This window comes from Homo sapiens, chromosome 5 (assembly GCF_000001405.40).
Source record: "Homo sapiens chromosome 5, GRCh38.p14 Primary Assembly".
In the NCBI taxonomy this organism is placed as follows: Eukaryota; Metazoa; Chordata; class Mammalia; order Primates; family Hominidae; genus Homo; species Homo sapiens.
Window position 1 is genome coordinate 31414872 of NC_000005.10, and position 17669 is coordinate 31432540.

Consider the following 17669-nt stretch of genomic DNA (forward strand, 5'->3'; position numbering starts at 1 on the left):
AAAATACTTCCAAAAAGACAAAGTTTAATTTGAAATCACCAGAAATGACTAAGAAGACTATAATTAAAGCTCTCTGTAAACCTGAGGAAAGGACTGCTGAATTCCTGGTGCAATGTCAGAGACCAATGTAAATATCCCAGATCTCAAACTCTGGTATTGAGAATCCAGGATGTTTTCTATTATGCCAGCATAGCAGTCTTTCATCATTACTTTAAACTTTCATAAGAAAAAGATTTATTCGTTTAAATAAAACATACATATTGACAATCTTCCTTCAAGTTCCCAATTTCACTCTTGAATCTGAAGGGAAAAACCACAGCTGGGGGATGAGCTACCAAAGAGGGACACCTAGTGTAAATTAAGCAGACTGTGATTTATTATTTTGAGGGCTTAATATAAGAACACGGGGTGAAAGCAGAATATACTATTGAAAGTGACAATAATATGCCACACAGCTCTATTATAACAAGAGTGGTCGCCAGATGGTCTCCATTTCCTGTGATAACTAAAGAAAAGGTACATAAATGCTAGCAGGCAAATACAGGTCAGATACAAAGAGCCAAATTATGTCAGTGACAGAAATCCTCATACAGGAGGCTGTGTAATCTATCTTCTCAACGAGATCTTTTAGATAAAATACCTGTTTGTCTGAATGATTTATGCTCAGTGCTGTGTGGAAGCATCAGGGCAGGATTAGATCACTGGTTCTTGAGCTTTTTATCTGTAATCCTTGCTCTCTTTCCCATTATCCCAAATCATTAAAAACAAACAAAAACTGTAGGTTCATCACCGCTATAGTGCATGCCACCATTGGGTACAGTGCCTTGAACACAGCAGGCACGGAGATTAGCAACTATTTTTAGCAAAGAGTAAAGGCTAAGAAAGAAGAATGATACAGAGGAGAAAACTCCTATGGCTTAAGATTTCCAAGGGTTACATTACAGGCATCCTGGCCTGTGTAAACACTTAATTTGAGGTGTTCTCACAATTTATACCTTGACCCTACTGCATACACCAACCTAAAAACTAAAAACTTCAGCATATGAAACAGAACTTCCCTCTATAGCCCAATGCAAACTCGGTTATCCTAGAACAATTGGATAAGCCTAACACTCCTTCCCGAGTAGGCCTTTTGAATAGCCAACTTACAGAACAGAATGTTTTTCCCCATCAGCATTCAAAACTTGAAAGCCATATTACATTTGCTCAATTGTCCTTATTCCCTTTAAGTGTGCAAGGGAATGGCTCAAAGCTAATTAATGCCTCCCAATGTGAATTACTGTAGCTGTGTGCTCTTTAATCACAATAATGAATCATTTGCCATCCCCCAACCAATGCAACTGCAATAAGTAATCCTCTCCAAATTTTAAATTAATTTTAATCCTTAGACACTCATAAGTAAGCCTTCCGCTTCTTCCCTTATATATAAAGCAACAGTCCACTTCCCTCCAGTGCCACTGCCTCTTCCCTCTTGACTTAGCTGACTGCACAGTTGTCACTCTTCTATTTATTTAGCAAAGATATACTGAGGGCCTATCATATGCCAGGCACTGCTGAGCATACAGTGATGAACAAAAACATGCTCTCAAAGAACTTCTAGTCCATTGGGGTAGGCAAACTGAGGTAAAGGCCAGGAAGGAAAACAACACAGAATTTTGATGCGGGGGCGGGATGGGTAAGGGTGGTCAGGGAAAGTTTCCCGCATCCAGAAGTCACACCAGAAAGGACATCTAAAGGAAGAGTAGAAGATACCAGGCACATAAAAGTAAGGGCTAGAACAGAACAGCTTCCAGGGAGAGGAAGAGCATACACAAAGGCCTGCTGGCAGGAGGAGGCCTGGAGAAATGCAAATAGCAGCTCAGTGCAGAGGTGCAGAGTGAGAACAAGAGCCTGTGGTACGAGGCTGGGCAGGCGGGCAAGGCCAGACCACCCAGGGCTTTGCCTGTTCTTTAGAAACTATCTGAAGAGCAACTGTAGAGAGTTAAGCTGGGATAGGATGATCATTCAGTCAAAGCATACTTGCTGAGCACTGATATGCCAGGTACTTCCCAGGGACCAAGGAATCAGGAATGGAGAAAACAAACAAAAACCCTGGCCTTCATGGAGTTTACACTCTGATTGGAGAAGACAGATAGTAAACAAGTACATTACATACTATATGCTAAGGAGGAGAAAGGCATGAGAGGTTCCAGGCTGAGGAGGTGTGCTAGGGACAAGGGGAAGTGGTTGCCTATTTATTCAGGGTAGGTTAAGGAAGGCCTTATTGATAAGATGACATCTGAACAGAGACCTGAAGGAGGTGAGCGATTTGGCCGTATAGATTACCAGGAGAACAATACTGCAGCCAGATAAAATGCACTGCAAAGGCCCTGAGGCAAGGGCTTGCTTAGTGTCCTGCAGGAACTGGCATACAGGCCAATGTGAAGAGTCTTATGAAAAACAGAGACAGGGAGCCAGTTCATATAAGGTGACTGTAACAACATTGTCTTTTACTCTTGAGATGGGAAGGTTTGGGAGGTTTTGTGCAGAAGAGGAATGTAATCCGGCTTCTCTTTAAAAATGATCCCTCTAGATGTGCTGAAAATTGACTGGGGCGCGGGGTATGAATCACTTGGGAGGTTATAGCTAATAATCTGGACTGCAGTGGCTCAGACCGGGTGATAACCATAAAAGTGGTCAGAATCTACACAGAACTTAAACAAATGTACAAGAAAAAGGAAAGGGAAAAGGCCAAAGACACAAATTAGGAAGTAGTGTAAAGATGTATTCAAAGCCATGAGACAGAATGAGATCACTTACGGAGCAGAAGTTGACAGAGAGGAGGTCTGACGACTGAGAACTGGGCCACTCCAATGTTAAGAGGTGGAGAGAGGAAGAGAAACAACCAAATGGGACTGAAGATGAATGGCTGGTGTCGTCACAGTGTAGTCACTGTAGATGAAAGGCCAGCGTAGATTTGTTGTGAAGAGACTCCTTTGACTACAGCATGTAAAATGGATTGGGCAGGGGCATGAGTTGACATAGGAAGACCAGGGTAGGAAGCTGCAAAAATGACTTCACAAAGGCCTGAGATCTGGGCCTCTTGAAGGATTTCTGCCTGAGAGGCTGTCCATCTCTCAGAGTTCAAAAATGCCCGTAAGAACAGCAAAGGCAGGCTTTTCAAATATTAGGATACATCCAGGAGACACCTGGGGACTCCAGCAGCCCACTCCTCTCACGGGAAGATGCTGCATTGCCTTATGTTTTGCATGAACACAACCTTCAGATTCCTATCCTTTGCAATTTAATAAACATCACTTCTTTCAACTGGGTCTCTATCAATCACACTGTAACTCTATGTGTGTGTGGTGTGTGTGTGTGTGTGTGTGTCACAGAGAGAGAGAGAGAGAGGGAGACAGAGAGAGAGAGACACAGAGAGAGAGAGAGACAGAGAGAGGAGAGTCTTGCTCTGTTGCCCAGCCTGGAGTGCAGTGGTGCAACCACAGCTCCTGGGCTCAAGCGATCCTCCCACTTCAGCCTCCCAAGTAACTGGGGCTACAAATGCATGCCACTCTACCAAGCTAGTTTTTTATTTTATTGTAGAGATGGAGTCTCATTATGTTGCACAGGCTGGTCTTAAACTCCTGGGCTCAAGCAATCCTCCCAGGTTGGCCTCCCAAAGTGCTGGGATTACAGGCATGAACCACCATACCTGGCCCTTGTAACGTATCAATAGTTATGCAGAAATTAAACTGCAGTGGTCCAGGTGAGTAAGGCAGCTAGGGAGGATGTGGGTGACAGAAAAAAGCTCATAAGGAAGAGGATAAATTCAAGAAATACTTGAGGAATAACACTGTCAGGGCTTGTGAATGGACTGGGATACAGAAAAGGGAGATAGAGAGAGGCATTCAAGATGTCTCCTAGGTTTCTGACATGCAACACTGAATGGGTGGTGCTGCCATTCAATTACTCAGGGAATACTGGACGAGGACCCAGGCAGGAGACTACAAATTCAGTCTTACACATGTTGAGATGTTGAGAAGGCAGCTAGGGCTGGAACTCAGAAGGGAGACAGGACTGAAGAGATCAGTTTAGAAGTCATCTGCCGGTAAGATGAAACTGATGACACACATTGAAAAGACTGGTAGGAGAGACTCTATTAAAAAGAGAACATGGCCTAAGAGTGAGCATTTTAGACATGGACTGTTTATTAGCTGTGAGACTAAGATGTGTCTGCAAAGTAGGCTGAGAAAGAGTAGCTAAAGAGGTAAGAGGAAACCCAGGAAAGTGCACCGTGACAGAAGCCAACAAAGCTTGTGTTTCAAGAAGGAGGAGGGAGCAGCCATGTTAATGCTAATGGGAGTTGGTATCTGTTAGAATCTGCATTTAGCTTATTCTTTGTCTTTGTCTTGCCCGCAGATCTGCTGGTCCTGCTAATTTCTACCAAAGCGTTCTGTGAATATAATTCAAAAAGCCTTCACATAATTTTATCATTTGTCAACATCACTGTAATAAGCTAGTCAAAAACTTTCTAATATTAAGACAGCAGGGCTGTTAAATACATTTTGGATAAAACTACACTTCTGGCATTGAAGTGACTTTGGAAAGAACACAGAACTAGAGTCTCTCATCTAGTCCTAGTTTTACCTTTCTCTAGATCATGGACAGGACTCATGCCTTTCTGAGTTTTGGTTTCCGTACTGTTCAATGCTGGGGGTGGGGGAGTGGGGTGGGAGGGAAAATGTACACGGTGAGCAGGTGGGAAACAATAAACTTCCCATCTCTATAAGATCCTAGCGTTCACAATTAATTTTGTAGGAATACCAGGGGAAATGTGTGTATTTAAAGCAAACATTTTCAAAAGTGGCCTCTATAGGGCCCTAAGATGAATTACTATTTCAAACTATTTAGTTGGTTTGGCCATTTCTCGGGCCAACCAGATACTCTGACACGTATGAAGTGTCAGAGGATATTGAACATGCAATTTATTGTTTTTCTAATGAACAGTAAGATACTATAGTTCATTTCTCAAAAATGTTTATAGTTTATGAATTTAATATTAAGTCATGAAAAAGACACTTTCTTGTCCACCTAAAAACTGTTAACTTTAAATGGTAATCAAACTTAATATAAAAAAAGAGTACTGCTGATTCCTCAGCACTTATGATGGAACTCAAGAGATACTCATCGAGTGAGTGAATGCTAGGCTTAGAAATTCCACTGAAAAATGACATCTAAACAGCCAAGTCACCATATTCTCTCTAGTTCCAATATTTATGTCTCACATAAACTATTTCCAGGGCTCACTCACGGTTACAAAGATAAAATCCAATTCTATTCAAAGCAGAACACACATAAAAACTGTAGAGATGCAAAGTTTGAAAGACTTGTTATTTGCTTCAACATACTAAAGACAGACTGCACTAAGTATCTTGCAGTGTACCAGTATTTTTCTTTGCCCAATAAAGTATTTGCTTTCTCAATGTCCAGTCCTCAAGGGACTTCTCAAAGGTTACTCATTGTGCCTTAAGAGATCATCATGACCTCCTTCTGGATGTTTTGTTCACCATTTCAGGATATTATTGATTGGTTTCACAGAGTAAAAACAGTACGCAACAAATAAAAAAGCTCACAAAAGTTTTATAAAATGAAACCAAAATAAGAGGCATAGGGACCATTTCACTTTGTTTATAAATCAAACCTGTCTCTGTAACTCCCTTTCAACTCTGCCATGGTCTAACCAAACTAAGTCCCTACTGCCTCTCAGTCTTCTCATTTTTTTTATGCCATGCCTTTTCGTTCTGCAGTCCCAGTGTGTGTACTGCCCTTGCATAGACATTTCTTCCCACCAAATCCCAATGGCTAAATCCTAACTATCTTTAAAGGCTCAAACATCATTATACCCATGAAGCCTTCTTTGAACTCCACAGATAGAAGAAACCTCGTATTTTCCTAAACTGCACAAGTACAGCAATTTACCTAGGCTTCTTTATAATATTTAACATGTTCTACCTTGCATTTAGTTATAGTAACTTAAGCTTTCTATAGTGTGTATCTACATGTATAAACTCATGATATATATACAGTGTTTATTTTGTGGTTATTTATTTAAGCTTTAATCTCCTCTAATAATTTTTAAGCTCCTTGTAAACAGACTTGGTGTCAACTTATCTTTGTTCCTTCCATGAGGCCTAGCTCAATATTTTGCACAGAGTAGGCAGTCAGTAAATAAAGGAGTATAAAATGAGCTCTCATTGCATATGTGCTTTGTATACAATTTGCACAATGAAATGAACAAAGCCAATGATAAGCTAAAGTCACTAAGAGTAAGAAATTAATTACATAGATATATATTTGACCCCTCTAATCTTCACTCTGCTTTACAGCAATCTTATTGGAGGAAGTGATTTAACCAACTCACAGTTAAGTGTCCTTCATGATGATCTGGGAAATGAATGAATAAGTACTCTGTGGCTACCAGTTGCATTATGGAGTCACCTAGGAATTCCATTCTCTGATTGTGGCCTCTGGAAAAAGAAACATCAAAGTAAAGAAATCAATAACCATTTATGGATTTCCAAAAAAACACCCAGAATTTTAAAAAAGGAATGACTTAAAAAGACAATGTGTTCATTTTGTTTTAAAGCACAAAACCAAATACAATTCCCTAAGGCCCCTCGATTGAGAAGAGATCTGAGTTAATATAGGCTGAGTTTTAAAGAAGAATAAAGTGAATATTATCTAAGGATTAAACGATTGCCAAAATAAAGACTGGTAAACACTGCCTGGTCAGAAGCTGAAGAGCATAAATTGAAAAATCAAGCATAATACAAACAACAATCTTGAAAGAAAGCAAACAGGTCCAAGACTTTTCTTTGCTAAATTTATTGAAATATATACTCTGGCCGGCTGCAGTGGCTCATGCCTCTAATCCCAGTGCTTTGTGAGGCTGAGGCAGGTGGATCACTTGAGCCCAGGAGTTTGAGACCAGCCTGGCAACATGAAGAAACCCCATCTCTACAAAAAAAAAAAAAAAAAAAAAAAATATATATATATAAAAATTAGCCGTGTGTGTGTGTGTGTATATAAATTAGCCAGGCATGGTAGCACACGCCTATAGTCCCCAGCTACTCAGGAGGCTGAGGCAGGAAGAGTGCTTGAGCCCTGAAGGTCAAGGGCTGCAGTGAGCCGTAATCATGCCACTGCATTCCAGCCTTCGCAACAGAGTGAGATCTGTCAGAAAAAAAAAAGAAAGAAAGAAAGAAAAAGAAAAAGAAATAACATACTCCATTATTCAAAGCTGGAATCCAAATTTTAAAACAAAAAAAAATCTATGATAAGAATCTTTCATCTTTACAGGTTAAAGAGAGTTGGAAATATTTGGTTTGGAAGAGGGGAGTAAAAAAATGAACAAAAAACAACCCCAAAGAAGTAAAATTTTGCTTATTTTCTTAATTGTTTCACTAGCTCACCTTCAAATCATTCATCTAGAGCAGGGGTCAGAGAGCCAAATCCAGCCCACGGACTGTTTCTAAGAATAAAGTTTTACTGGAACACAGCCATGTTCACTCATTTGCATTTCATCGATGGCTGCTTTGATGCTACTATGGCAGAGTCGAATCACTGCACACAGGCCACATGGCCCACAAAACCTAAAATATTTAGTATCTGTCCTGCTGGGAAAAAGTTTATACTTCCTTCACACTTCTCCTAAAACTTAACAGAGAAACCAAGATGCATGACAATGGAACCAACAACATTGGATTGGAGCATAACCCCAGGTCCACACTGAGGTCTGTCTGCTCACCCATCTCACAATGTGACTTTCCTGGAAATATATTTGAAATCCCAATTCCTTCGAAGGGCATGCTCCAAAGGTCTGGGACTGCCTCATCTAAATGGTCACATTGGGACTACATGAGAACTTTTAACTCACAGGGTCAGATGGTTAAATCCCACAGTTCTCAATGTGAATGCCCTTGCCAGAAGTCGAACATGAGTAAAAATTACTCCAATTGCTTCTTCAAACTCAGTAAGTTTTTGTAGAACTGGAGAAGTTTCAATAAGTTGTCGATCAGTATTTGGCTCTTGTAGCTACAGGAAAATAGAAATAAATAAAAATCATTTTTTCATTTTTGGTTGTAAGTGCAATGATCAATTCTAGGACAGTGTTTTGTAAAATTCCTTCTCCCATGAGCAGAAATTTCTGAAATGCCAATAAAGCATGGAAGCTCGTTTCTCATTTCTTTGAATGGCAAACAAATCTAATATTTAAAGAAGGTTCAAATAATATTTTCCAATCTTCTATCAAATTTCAAGGCCAAGTACTGTACACAGATAGTTCAAAATCCCAAGTATTATACTAACTCTCCAAGGAGATTCGAGCTGAAGAACAGCTGGTAGAAAATATATATATCTAGTAAAACAATGGTTCTCAAACTCCAGCATGCATGTTAAACGCAGCAGTCAGCTGGGTCCTGCCCCCAAGATTACTGATTTCCTATGTCTGGAATCAAGACTGGGAATCCGTCTTCCTGACATGTTCCCAGGTGATGCAGATGCTGCTGGTCTGGGTCTGCCCTTTAAAAACTACTGCATTAAAGTAATTTACTACTGTGTTTTCTAGGGACCAACTTATTTTGGCAATGAGCATCATTAAAACAGAGTTCAATGTACATTGGAGATTATTATACCACTAGACAGGTGGTGCTCCAACAATGAGCCTTTAACAACTGGTAGAGAGCAAATATGAAAAGTGTGATTAAAATGAACATTTGCAACAACTTTGGGCACTCATGTATTAATAAAATATTTTTAAAGTACTCTGAATTAATGTCATTTCTTACTGTAAAGCCTCTTATGAGAGTTCAACCACTTCTTACATTTATTTTATATACATATATAAAAATAAGTATATGAGGATACATATGATGTTTACATATATGCATATATCCCAAAGTAAAACAGAAATAAAGGCAAAGAATAGTAAGAATTCTTAAACCATCTGGGGAAATAGGTGCCACCACCATATGTAGAGCTTTTAAATTCCAAAATCTTGAGTGAAAAGCTATCACACTATACTAATTTTTTAATTTACAGGTTTTATACACTCTGAATTGAAGCTTTCAATTTCTAAGATCCAGATTAGATCATACGTTAACAATGTTAATTTAGTATTTGTTCTACTTTTTTAGTATGCTCAGACTCGCTTCCATACTATTAACACTTTCCCTGCAAAAGCAAGTGTGTAGATATACTGGAGTCAACATTTTATGCTTTCAATATCACCTTTTGGTGGTGGTGGGGCATCCATAACTACACAGTAGCTCTTCCTTCCTCACTGAGGGAAGATGACTCCCAATGCTCCCCCTACCCTATTCCAGACCACATAAACACAATGCATGGGTTCATTCTCCTATTGTTCCAAAGTTTTCCAGGTCTGACACCTCAGCTTAAAGGCACAATGCCACCGAAGAGAATCAAAAGATAAAAGTGGGGAAGGAAAAAAAGGCAAAGGAAAGTAACATGAATAGCTGGAGTTATAAAGCTCACTGCAGACAGGGAGGTCATACTTACTTGGAGTGGGTGGAGAGGATAATTGAGCCAGACTTCGCGCAGGTCCTGGAAAATGGAGTGATGCCTTTAATGCTCAAGGGAGCCATTTAACGCACTCTAGAGTACTAAATAAAATGTCATTATTTGAAATACGGAACTATTTCAGACACTGACTCCACTTATGGCAAATTCAACAGTGCTGGCAAACTAATTTTTTTTTTAAGTGTATTCACCACTCAAACCGCCTGTAGTGACTCTAATTAGCCTATTAAGCTACGGGGGAAAAGAGCCTCCTCTAGTCCCAGAAGTCAGACACCTTTTAAAACTAAGTTACATATTTGGTTAACTTAATACACTGCACTAAGCTGCTCTTTTAATCATATTTTTTTCTTACCATTGTCCAGAAATGTGCATCAGCTGTGCCTTTTGTAATTAAAACTCATTTCAAATGTCCTTCATTTTAGGCACTAATTCATTATCATATGAGCTATTTTAAGATGGAGTGGAAAACGCCCCATGTCGTCTTCATAAGATCTTATGTTTATGAGATCATGCTTTTACAGTGGGTCATTACAAATGTTCACTTGAACTACTGGAATGAGTGAATTTTATGGAAACCCCTAGTATATTACTTTATCCACTGACTTAAATCTAGAGGTTATAATGAGAACTTCCTCAGGACTAAAGTGTTTTTCCTTTAGTTTCAGACTCTAGGGAGCCTCTGACTGAATTTACTTCCCGACCTTGATATTAGATTTCTGAAATAAATAACAAAAAAAATTCCTTAAGAGGAAAAAATATTTAAGTTTTTTTTTAGAGGGGAAGAAGTATAGGAAAATTTAGTACCACTTGTAACACACAGGGTAATAAAAGTAAAATACCTAATATTTCTTGCACAACTGATATCTTAATAAAATACACTCAGGGTTTTTTAAATAATATTTTTTAAAAGCATTTAAACATCAAACTTTCTTTGGGGCACTTTAAAGGACTTCTCTTAACCAATTCAGAAATCTTTCCTTTGAAATCTCGGTAGTGCAAATTATATTGATTGTTCTTACCTTCTTACAACTTTCTCTCAATGCTTTTTTTCTTCCTCCTTTCACCCTAAGTGGACATTTATCAAACTTCGGGCCCTTGCCTGACCTATTCATTACCATTTCCACTGGAGAATTCCACTATTTCCAGTGCTTTACTACTTCAGTTTGGATTACTCATTCACTTCTGCTGCAGCACTGACCTCTTACCTAAGCTCCCAGTCCATAACTCTAAATAGCACATGGGCACCTATTACTCCATATGGAACATGATCAAATGATAACTTTTCACCTTTCTCCTTAAACTAGAGCATCTGTTACAGAAGACGGCAGGCTTAGGAGTCAGGCTGCCTGGGTCCAATCCTGATTCCATCTTGGCAAGTGACTTAACCTAAGCTTCCATGTCCTCAAGCTTAAGACAAAGATAATTGTAGGACCTACTCAAGCTGTTCTCTGACAAACACCCTGAGCAATGCACTCAAAGTATTAAACCCAGAGCTGGCCCATAGAAAGTACTACTATTAATAATGATGACAACAACAACAATGATAAAGAGCTATTTCTTCCAACCAACCCCAGTCTCCAAGGCTCAAAATTCCCAGGGATCTTGATTCACCTTTCTTCTATCACCTTCATGTCTTATACCGAAACAAGACTGTGATTCCTCCTTTCATGTCTGCTGCCACCCATCTTGGTGTAATAGCATAACACCCCATGACCAGACTAATGCACCTGTCCATTTCCTTTCATCTACCCCATAGACACCGAGATAGGGTTCTGCTGCACCTTGGTGTCAGGGGAAATATACTGAAAAGATCTAGACTGGAACCCCAGTGCTACCATTTATTAGCTCAAGGACCTTAGGCAAGGTCTCTACCTTTAGCTGGCTCTTCTGGAAAATATTCTGATCAGGTCATTTGTTCATGCAACATGTTTTTACTGAATACCTAACTCTGTCCTAAAGAGGCCTAGTGAGAAAGAATGAAGGTAAATAAGTGCACTTTAATACATTGTGGTAAGTCTCATAATAATGAGATATATACATATAAGTGTTAGGAAAACTGCCTGGAGGTGTCAGATAAAGCTTCAAAGAGGAGATGATTCTTCAGATGTGTCCTGAGAATATGAAGATTTTGGCAAATCAGTAGAGAGTGAGAATCAAAAACGGGGCACCAGAAACATACAAATAATAAGTCTTAAAGTACATAGGCACAAAAAGGTGATTCCTAGTGAATGGCACAAAGAGGGATTAAAAAAACGGCTGACAGATTATGAAAACTATTAAATGCTACGTTATGTAGTATATAGAGCTTGGGAGGCTGTAACCAAAGATTTTAAGCAAGAAAGGCCCTAACCAAATCTGCATATTGAAAAGAAGAAATGTGGTATGAATGATGGACTGGAGCGGTGGGGGATGGCAGCCGGTTAGAGTTCAAGTGAGAAATGAGGAGGACAAAAATGAAAGCAGTAGGGTAGCAATTCAAGAAATATTAGGGTCAGAATTGATAGACTCTTGCAATCGATCAGATAAGAGGAGAAGAAAGCTTAGGGACAAAAATAAATCCTAAGGTTTCTGGTTTAGAAGATAAAAATAAGGAAGGAGGAACACATTTGGGGGTTAAAAGTGATGGGTTCAATGTTACACATGTTGAAATGAGGTATCTGTGAAACACCTGTGAGGTGCCCAGAGGCAACTTGAAAAGACACTTTTTCCAGTTTCTGCAGCTCCAGAGAAAAGGCCTGAGTCAGAGGTACTGGGACAGCTGTGTAAAGAGAAAAGGTGTGGAAAGCAGGGGCATAGGAAAAATCACATTAACACCACTCTAGCTTTCTAAGCGGGCCATTAACATAATCAAAATGAAACAATGGATCTGAATGTACTGGGTCAAACTTGAAGGGTTACACAAAGACCAAAATACAAAACCAGCAAAACTGGGGCTGAAAGAGTAAAACTCAGTTGAGGGTGAAAAAGAAAAAAACAGCCCTGCTGTTTACAGGGCTGAGAAGACAGACACAGATAAAGCCAGCAGCAAAGTGAACAGGAAACAATGTTTTCCTCAAGGTCTTGCAGCTGCTGTAAAATGCCATTATGACCCTCTGACTAAGGATCACCGCAGATACTTAATCGCCAAGCTGCCCTTGCCTTGGGACGGCACCCAATCCCAAAGTAATCTCTTGCTGCTCCTAAACTGGCCACAGCCAAGAACCTCCTAAGAATTATTCAGCACCAGCCCAGGCCTCACAAAGGATGTCTCTCTCCACCCCCACAACACAGCCAATCAACCTGACTTTGTTGCCTACAGGTTTGTCCCTGGCTGTCTTTGGCTAATTAGGCTTTCATGATGCCTTATTCAAAAAAGAAGTACATTGGTTCACTAACATCTCTCACATGCTACAACTAATAGGTGGAAACCAATATGGAGATGTCAAATGAGTCAGTGTCCAAGTTTGTGTACTTCAAAATGCTAAAGAGGAAAACCCATACATTGTGAGCCTTATGCAGTTTCACAAAAGACACACTAAAACAAATTCTGAATCTCAACCACCCTGTTTGTAAGATAATGTTCACACTCTGCTTTTAATCCAGTCATTTATTCACTTCACTCTTCTAACAAATCTGTATTAAACGCTGCACATGCCAGCATTGCACTAGGTACTGGAAACACAAGATAAGCTCACTAAGTAGACAACTGGGAGAGAGGCAGTTTAAAGAGAAAAGAATCTAAACACAGACTGATGCAATTAAAGAAGACAAGTAGAAAACTGCAGCAAAACAGAACAACAGAACACAGTGGATTGGGGGATGCAGGTAAGATGGGAGAAGAGGACAGGGAGGAGGTGGGGGTGGGGGAAGGAGTCTAAAGGGTGCTGGGGGACACACAGACAAGACTGCAGGAAGGAAAGAGAGCAAAGAGGTTGCTGAAATGACCCACAAAAGGTGAAGGCCAGAACAAAGAAAATTTAAGATTTGAGAAAAGGTCTTAAAACACACACCATCTGATACAGATGCAAATCAAGATGCACATGTGTTTATATGTGCAGGACAAAAATGGGGGACACAGAGCATCTGTAGATAATCTTCCCATAAGGAGGAAATTCATCCATAAAAATCATCACATATCTCTAGAAAAACAAATACAAAAATCAAATTCTCAGATATGAACATTGTCCAGGTCATATTTTCCAAAACTATTGATCCTTTTTTAAAAAAACTACCCAAAGTAATACAGTAATAACGTCTGACAGCCATTTAAGCTGAAGGTTTCACAGAGGCTTAAAACTGGCTTCCCGTGTTCTTTATTGCTCCATGAGGGCTATTTCATTCAATTATAATGACATTTCAATTTGGAATACAGAGTTGCTTCCCCCTTTAAATGTTAAATTGACTTGTTTTGGTGCAGAAAGCATCCAGTGTACTCTATTACATGCAGGATTAAAAAGGTGTCTCTGGCAATATTAATAGCTTAATATTTAAGTAACAACAGAAACTATTTTAGAATCTATCATTTTTTCTTAAACTACAATTTGCTTTTAAAAAAGTACTTTCATACTCTTTATCCATAGCCCTATCAGAAACTCCCTATGAACTGACATTTAAAAATAAATAAACATTTATCTAGTCTACATAATTTACATAAAAACAAATCATACACAGAAAAGCCAAAAGGCTATCACTTCAACTAAGCCTGCATGGGGTAGATACCCAATGATTCTAAAATATAAAATCATAATTAGCTTCAAGACACTTCAAAATGAAGCGAAGTCCTATTATATTTGTATTCATATTTAATTTATAAGTGACCATGAGGAAAGACAGGTTCAGGCCAAAGAAAAACTCCTTGTGTAAAGGTCCATGGAACTTTCCATCTGCAAGAGTTGAATAAGCCATTTTGGTGTATTGAAATGTCCCATCTATGGTAGATCTGACTATTTTGTTTCTCCTATATTCTCTTCAAATTACAAAGACCAGCTGAAATAAAATATTCTGTAATAATATATAACAAAAAAAATCAAATGATTCCATAGAAATACCGGATCATTAAAGAGCAAGCGTCCAAATAACTGCTTGGCTTCCTCCAGGCTTCCCTCCAAGTAAACAGCTCCTAGATGAAAAACAGAGAATGCCAAAAGAGAGTCTCCATCAACAGTCAAAGAAAATGACATATCTCTATAATAAAGCAAAAACGCAAGCCAAAAACTACTCACAGAAAACAAATCAACATGTTCAGAAGCAATTGTCTTAAAGGTGACATTTCCCCTTTTTGCTATCCTTTGCATTACAAATTAGACTGAAATAATATGAAATTCAATTTACTAACATCTAAATCTAATATTGTAAGTAAAAGAGGCCAAATATCAACTATTATGAAGGGTAAAGGTATAAACCTTACTAAGGGAGCAATGCACAAATACTTGACTTTAGTAAAGCAAATGTTCTGTTTTATTTTATGCATTTATAGTATACGTTTCAGATCAAATGTATATAGATACCTAAGGAAAAAAAAACCTGATAGACAAAACCCGAGTCTAGATCAATGAAGGCATCTGCAAACAAAATATCAGGGGAAGCTTTACCTTTAATTTGGAATAATTAAGCATTAGGCAAACACATTAATGAATCATAACCAGGAAGTACTATGGTAACATTTTAACTGGGTATCAATTACAATGGAGTACTCATATTTTCTTGAAATCAAATGTTTACACTTGTCTTCAGAAAGGCTACTTTTCCATGTAAAATGTTAAGGCACTTAGTTACCAGGGCTTTTGACAACTAAAGACATTCATTATTTATTGATAATTGTAACAATGATAGTCAGAGTAACAGTGGTAGCAGCTGTTGTGGTTTGGGAAACACTTATGTCCTGGGTACCATGCAAAGCATTTCCACATTCTTATCTTCACTTTCATGGGGTACCTCAGTAGGAGGATGTTAGAAAAGACTTACAGGATTTAGGCTCATATTAGTTGATTTGGGGGGACAGCTTAAGGAAGTAGAGCTTTGCTCTGGATTGGATGCTGCCAGAATCAGATATTAAGATCATTATGACAACTCTGCAAGGTAAGTGATACTATCTCCATCTCACAGGCTCACAGATGAGGAAACTGAGGATCAAAGAGATTAGGTAGCTTGCCAAAGACACAGATCTGATAAATGATGGAACAGGAAATTGAATCATGTCTGGCTGGTTCTGGAGGCAATGGTAACACCAACTGTCAAAAATATTATGTGTACAGAGCAAAGTAATTCCATGTGACAAATTCTTTGAAAATAGACATATTTGTGAAAAACAGACATAGCTGTGAAAAGACTGTGGATAATTATTAAACATTCTCTTCCCACTATCATCAGCATGAAACTACAATGGGAAGCTTTTATATTCATTTTCAAAGGAAGAGGGCAAAAATGGTAAGAACAAAGCCCTTTGAAAGCTAAAATGTACTTGATCATTTACTTTAAAAAAAAATCAAGTTGTCAATCTACTGTAACATTTCATTGTAAAGCATACAAACTTGCAGTCGCCAGCTAATTAACTCTTCATAACTTTCCTGTACCAATGGCTAATTGTATTCTGGTTACAGTCAAAAAGAAGCCAAGGAAGTAAAGTGCCTGAGTGAGGAGTGAAATGTCAACATCAGTCTTGCTTCAAGTGAATCAATAACAGTTATACAGACTCAAACCCTGGGTGGGGCTTAAAAGATGTGGTGTTCTCAAGATGTTTAAAACAGAAATCTTACAAATAGTTTAATCAAAAGCAACACTGGAGTCTCTCAGCAACCTAATCTGTTTGTTTATGTATGTGATCCTGAATCAAATCTGGAAAGTAATCCATCTCCATATTAACTCACCTCATTTCAATTCATTAAATACTAACCATCTACATGACATCAGACACCAGACACCAATTCAGGCAGTAGAATGCAAAAAAAAAAAAAAAAAAAAAAAGAGGCATGTTCACTGCTCTGAAGGAACTGAAATAACTATAATATAAGGTGGTAGGTGTCGTCCTAGGAACCTCATGTGCTTTGGGAACAAGTAATTCTGTCCCAAGTTTCCACACTAAATTTTATGTGCTCTCCAGACTGTTTAGACATGCAAGAAAGTAGACTTCTTGAAGAAGAGAGAAATTACCTATTAACGCTTCAAAACAATTGGCCATTGCATGTCGAAGGTCCGATTCTCTACAAAGGTCAGGCCCGTGAGCATACAGCATAAATCGATCCAGTTCAAGTTTCTACAAAATTCACAATGACAAAACGTAAGAAAGAGTTTGCCAAAATCTTAACTATAGTAACTCAGCATCTCTTGCAGAGAGTTGGTGCGGAGACGAGATGGGGGCAGCGTAATGGTTACAAATCCATGAATATATTAAGAGAGAGTTTAGTTTAACATTCATTAGAAGTCCTATACATACAGCTCAGTTTTCACTAACTCAATTCTTTCCCAAACAGGCTTCTACAAACTCCAATAGTTCAAGTAGGGTTCAGAATTGATCAGATCTGAACTTTCCAATTCCAAGTTCAGATCAAGCACTAGCCCAGGCTGGAATAAGACTCTGCTACAAGCCCCTGGGTTCATCCAATATGCCTAGGGAGAGAATTACAAACCTAACACAAACTTCTGAAAGTCAATTTTACGTCTTTGACTCAAGTCATGTGGTACTGACAATGTCAGCACCATACAAAACAGATTTTTTTTTTTTTTTGAGACGGAATCTGGCTCTGTCGCCCAGGCTGGAGTGCAGTGGTATGATCTTGGCTTACTGCAACCTCCAACTCTTGGGTTCAAGCGATTCTCCTGCCTCACCCACCCGAGTAGATGGGACTACAGGCACCTGCCACCACACCCAGCTAATTTCTGTATTTTTAGTAGAGATGGGGTTTCACCATGTTGGCCAGGCTGGTCTCAAACTCCTGACCTTAGGTGATCCAGCCACCTCAGCCTCCCAAAGTGCTGGGATTACAGGTGTGAGCCACCACGCCTGGCCCAAAATAGATTTTTATGTGGTAGAGTAAGTGAGGACCCTCAGAAGACTTCAAAATGCCTTACACTTCTAAATCTTTATTTTTATTTGTTGTGACGATTTGGGGACCCCT

At 39.0% G+C, this 17669-nt stretch overlaps 1 protein-coding gene across 3 annotated transcripts in view, besides 1 other annotated feature; it reads right to left on the bottom strand.

Annotated features, from left to right (window-relative positions):
- Nucleotides 1-17669, bottom strand: part of DROSHA (drosha ribonuclease III) — a 131600-nt gene that overhangs the window by 14378 nt on the left and 99553 nt on the right. For all 3 annotated transcript variants that reach the window (NM_013235.5, NM_001100412.2, NM_001382508.1), the window contains 5 exons: nt 16705-16807; nt 14604-14674; nt 9556-9600; nt 7916-8073; nt 6401-6506 (listed from right to left, as the gene is read on the bottom strand). In NM_013235.5, the coding sequence (NP_037367.3) occupies nt 6401-6506; nt 7916-8073; nt 9556-9600; nt 14604-14674; nt 16705-16807 (483 nt within the window). The remainder of the gene's footprint in view (nt 1-6400; nt 6507-7915; nt 8074-9555; nt 9601-14603; nt 14675-16704; nt 16808-17669) is intronic.
- Nucleotides 12139-12665: an enhancer, noted in NCBI's record as "NANOG hESC enhancer chr5:31427117-31427643 (GRCh37/hg19 assembly coordinates)". NCBI's record gives its function as "activates a minimal SCP1, AML or CMV promoter by ChIP-STARR-seq in primed H9 embryonic stem cells {active_cell/tissue: H9 hESC(primed)}" and the evidence as "EXISTENCE:reporter gene assay evidence [ECO:0000049][PMID:30033119]".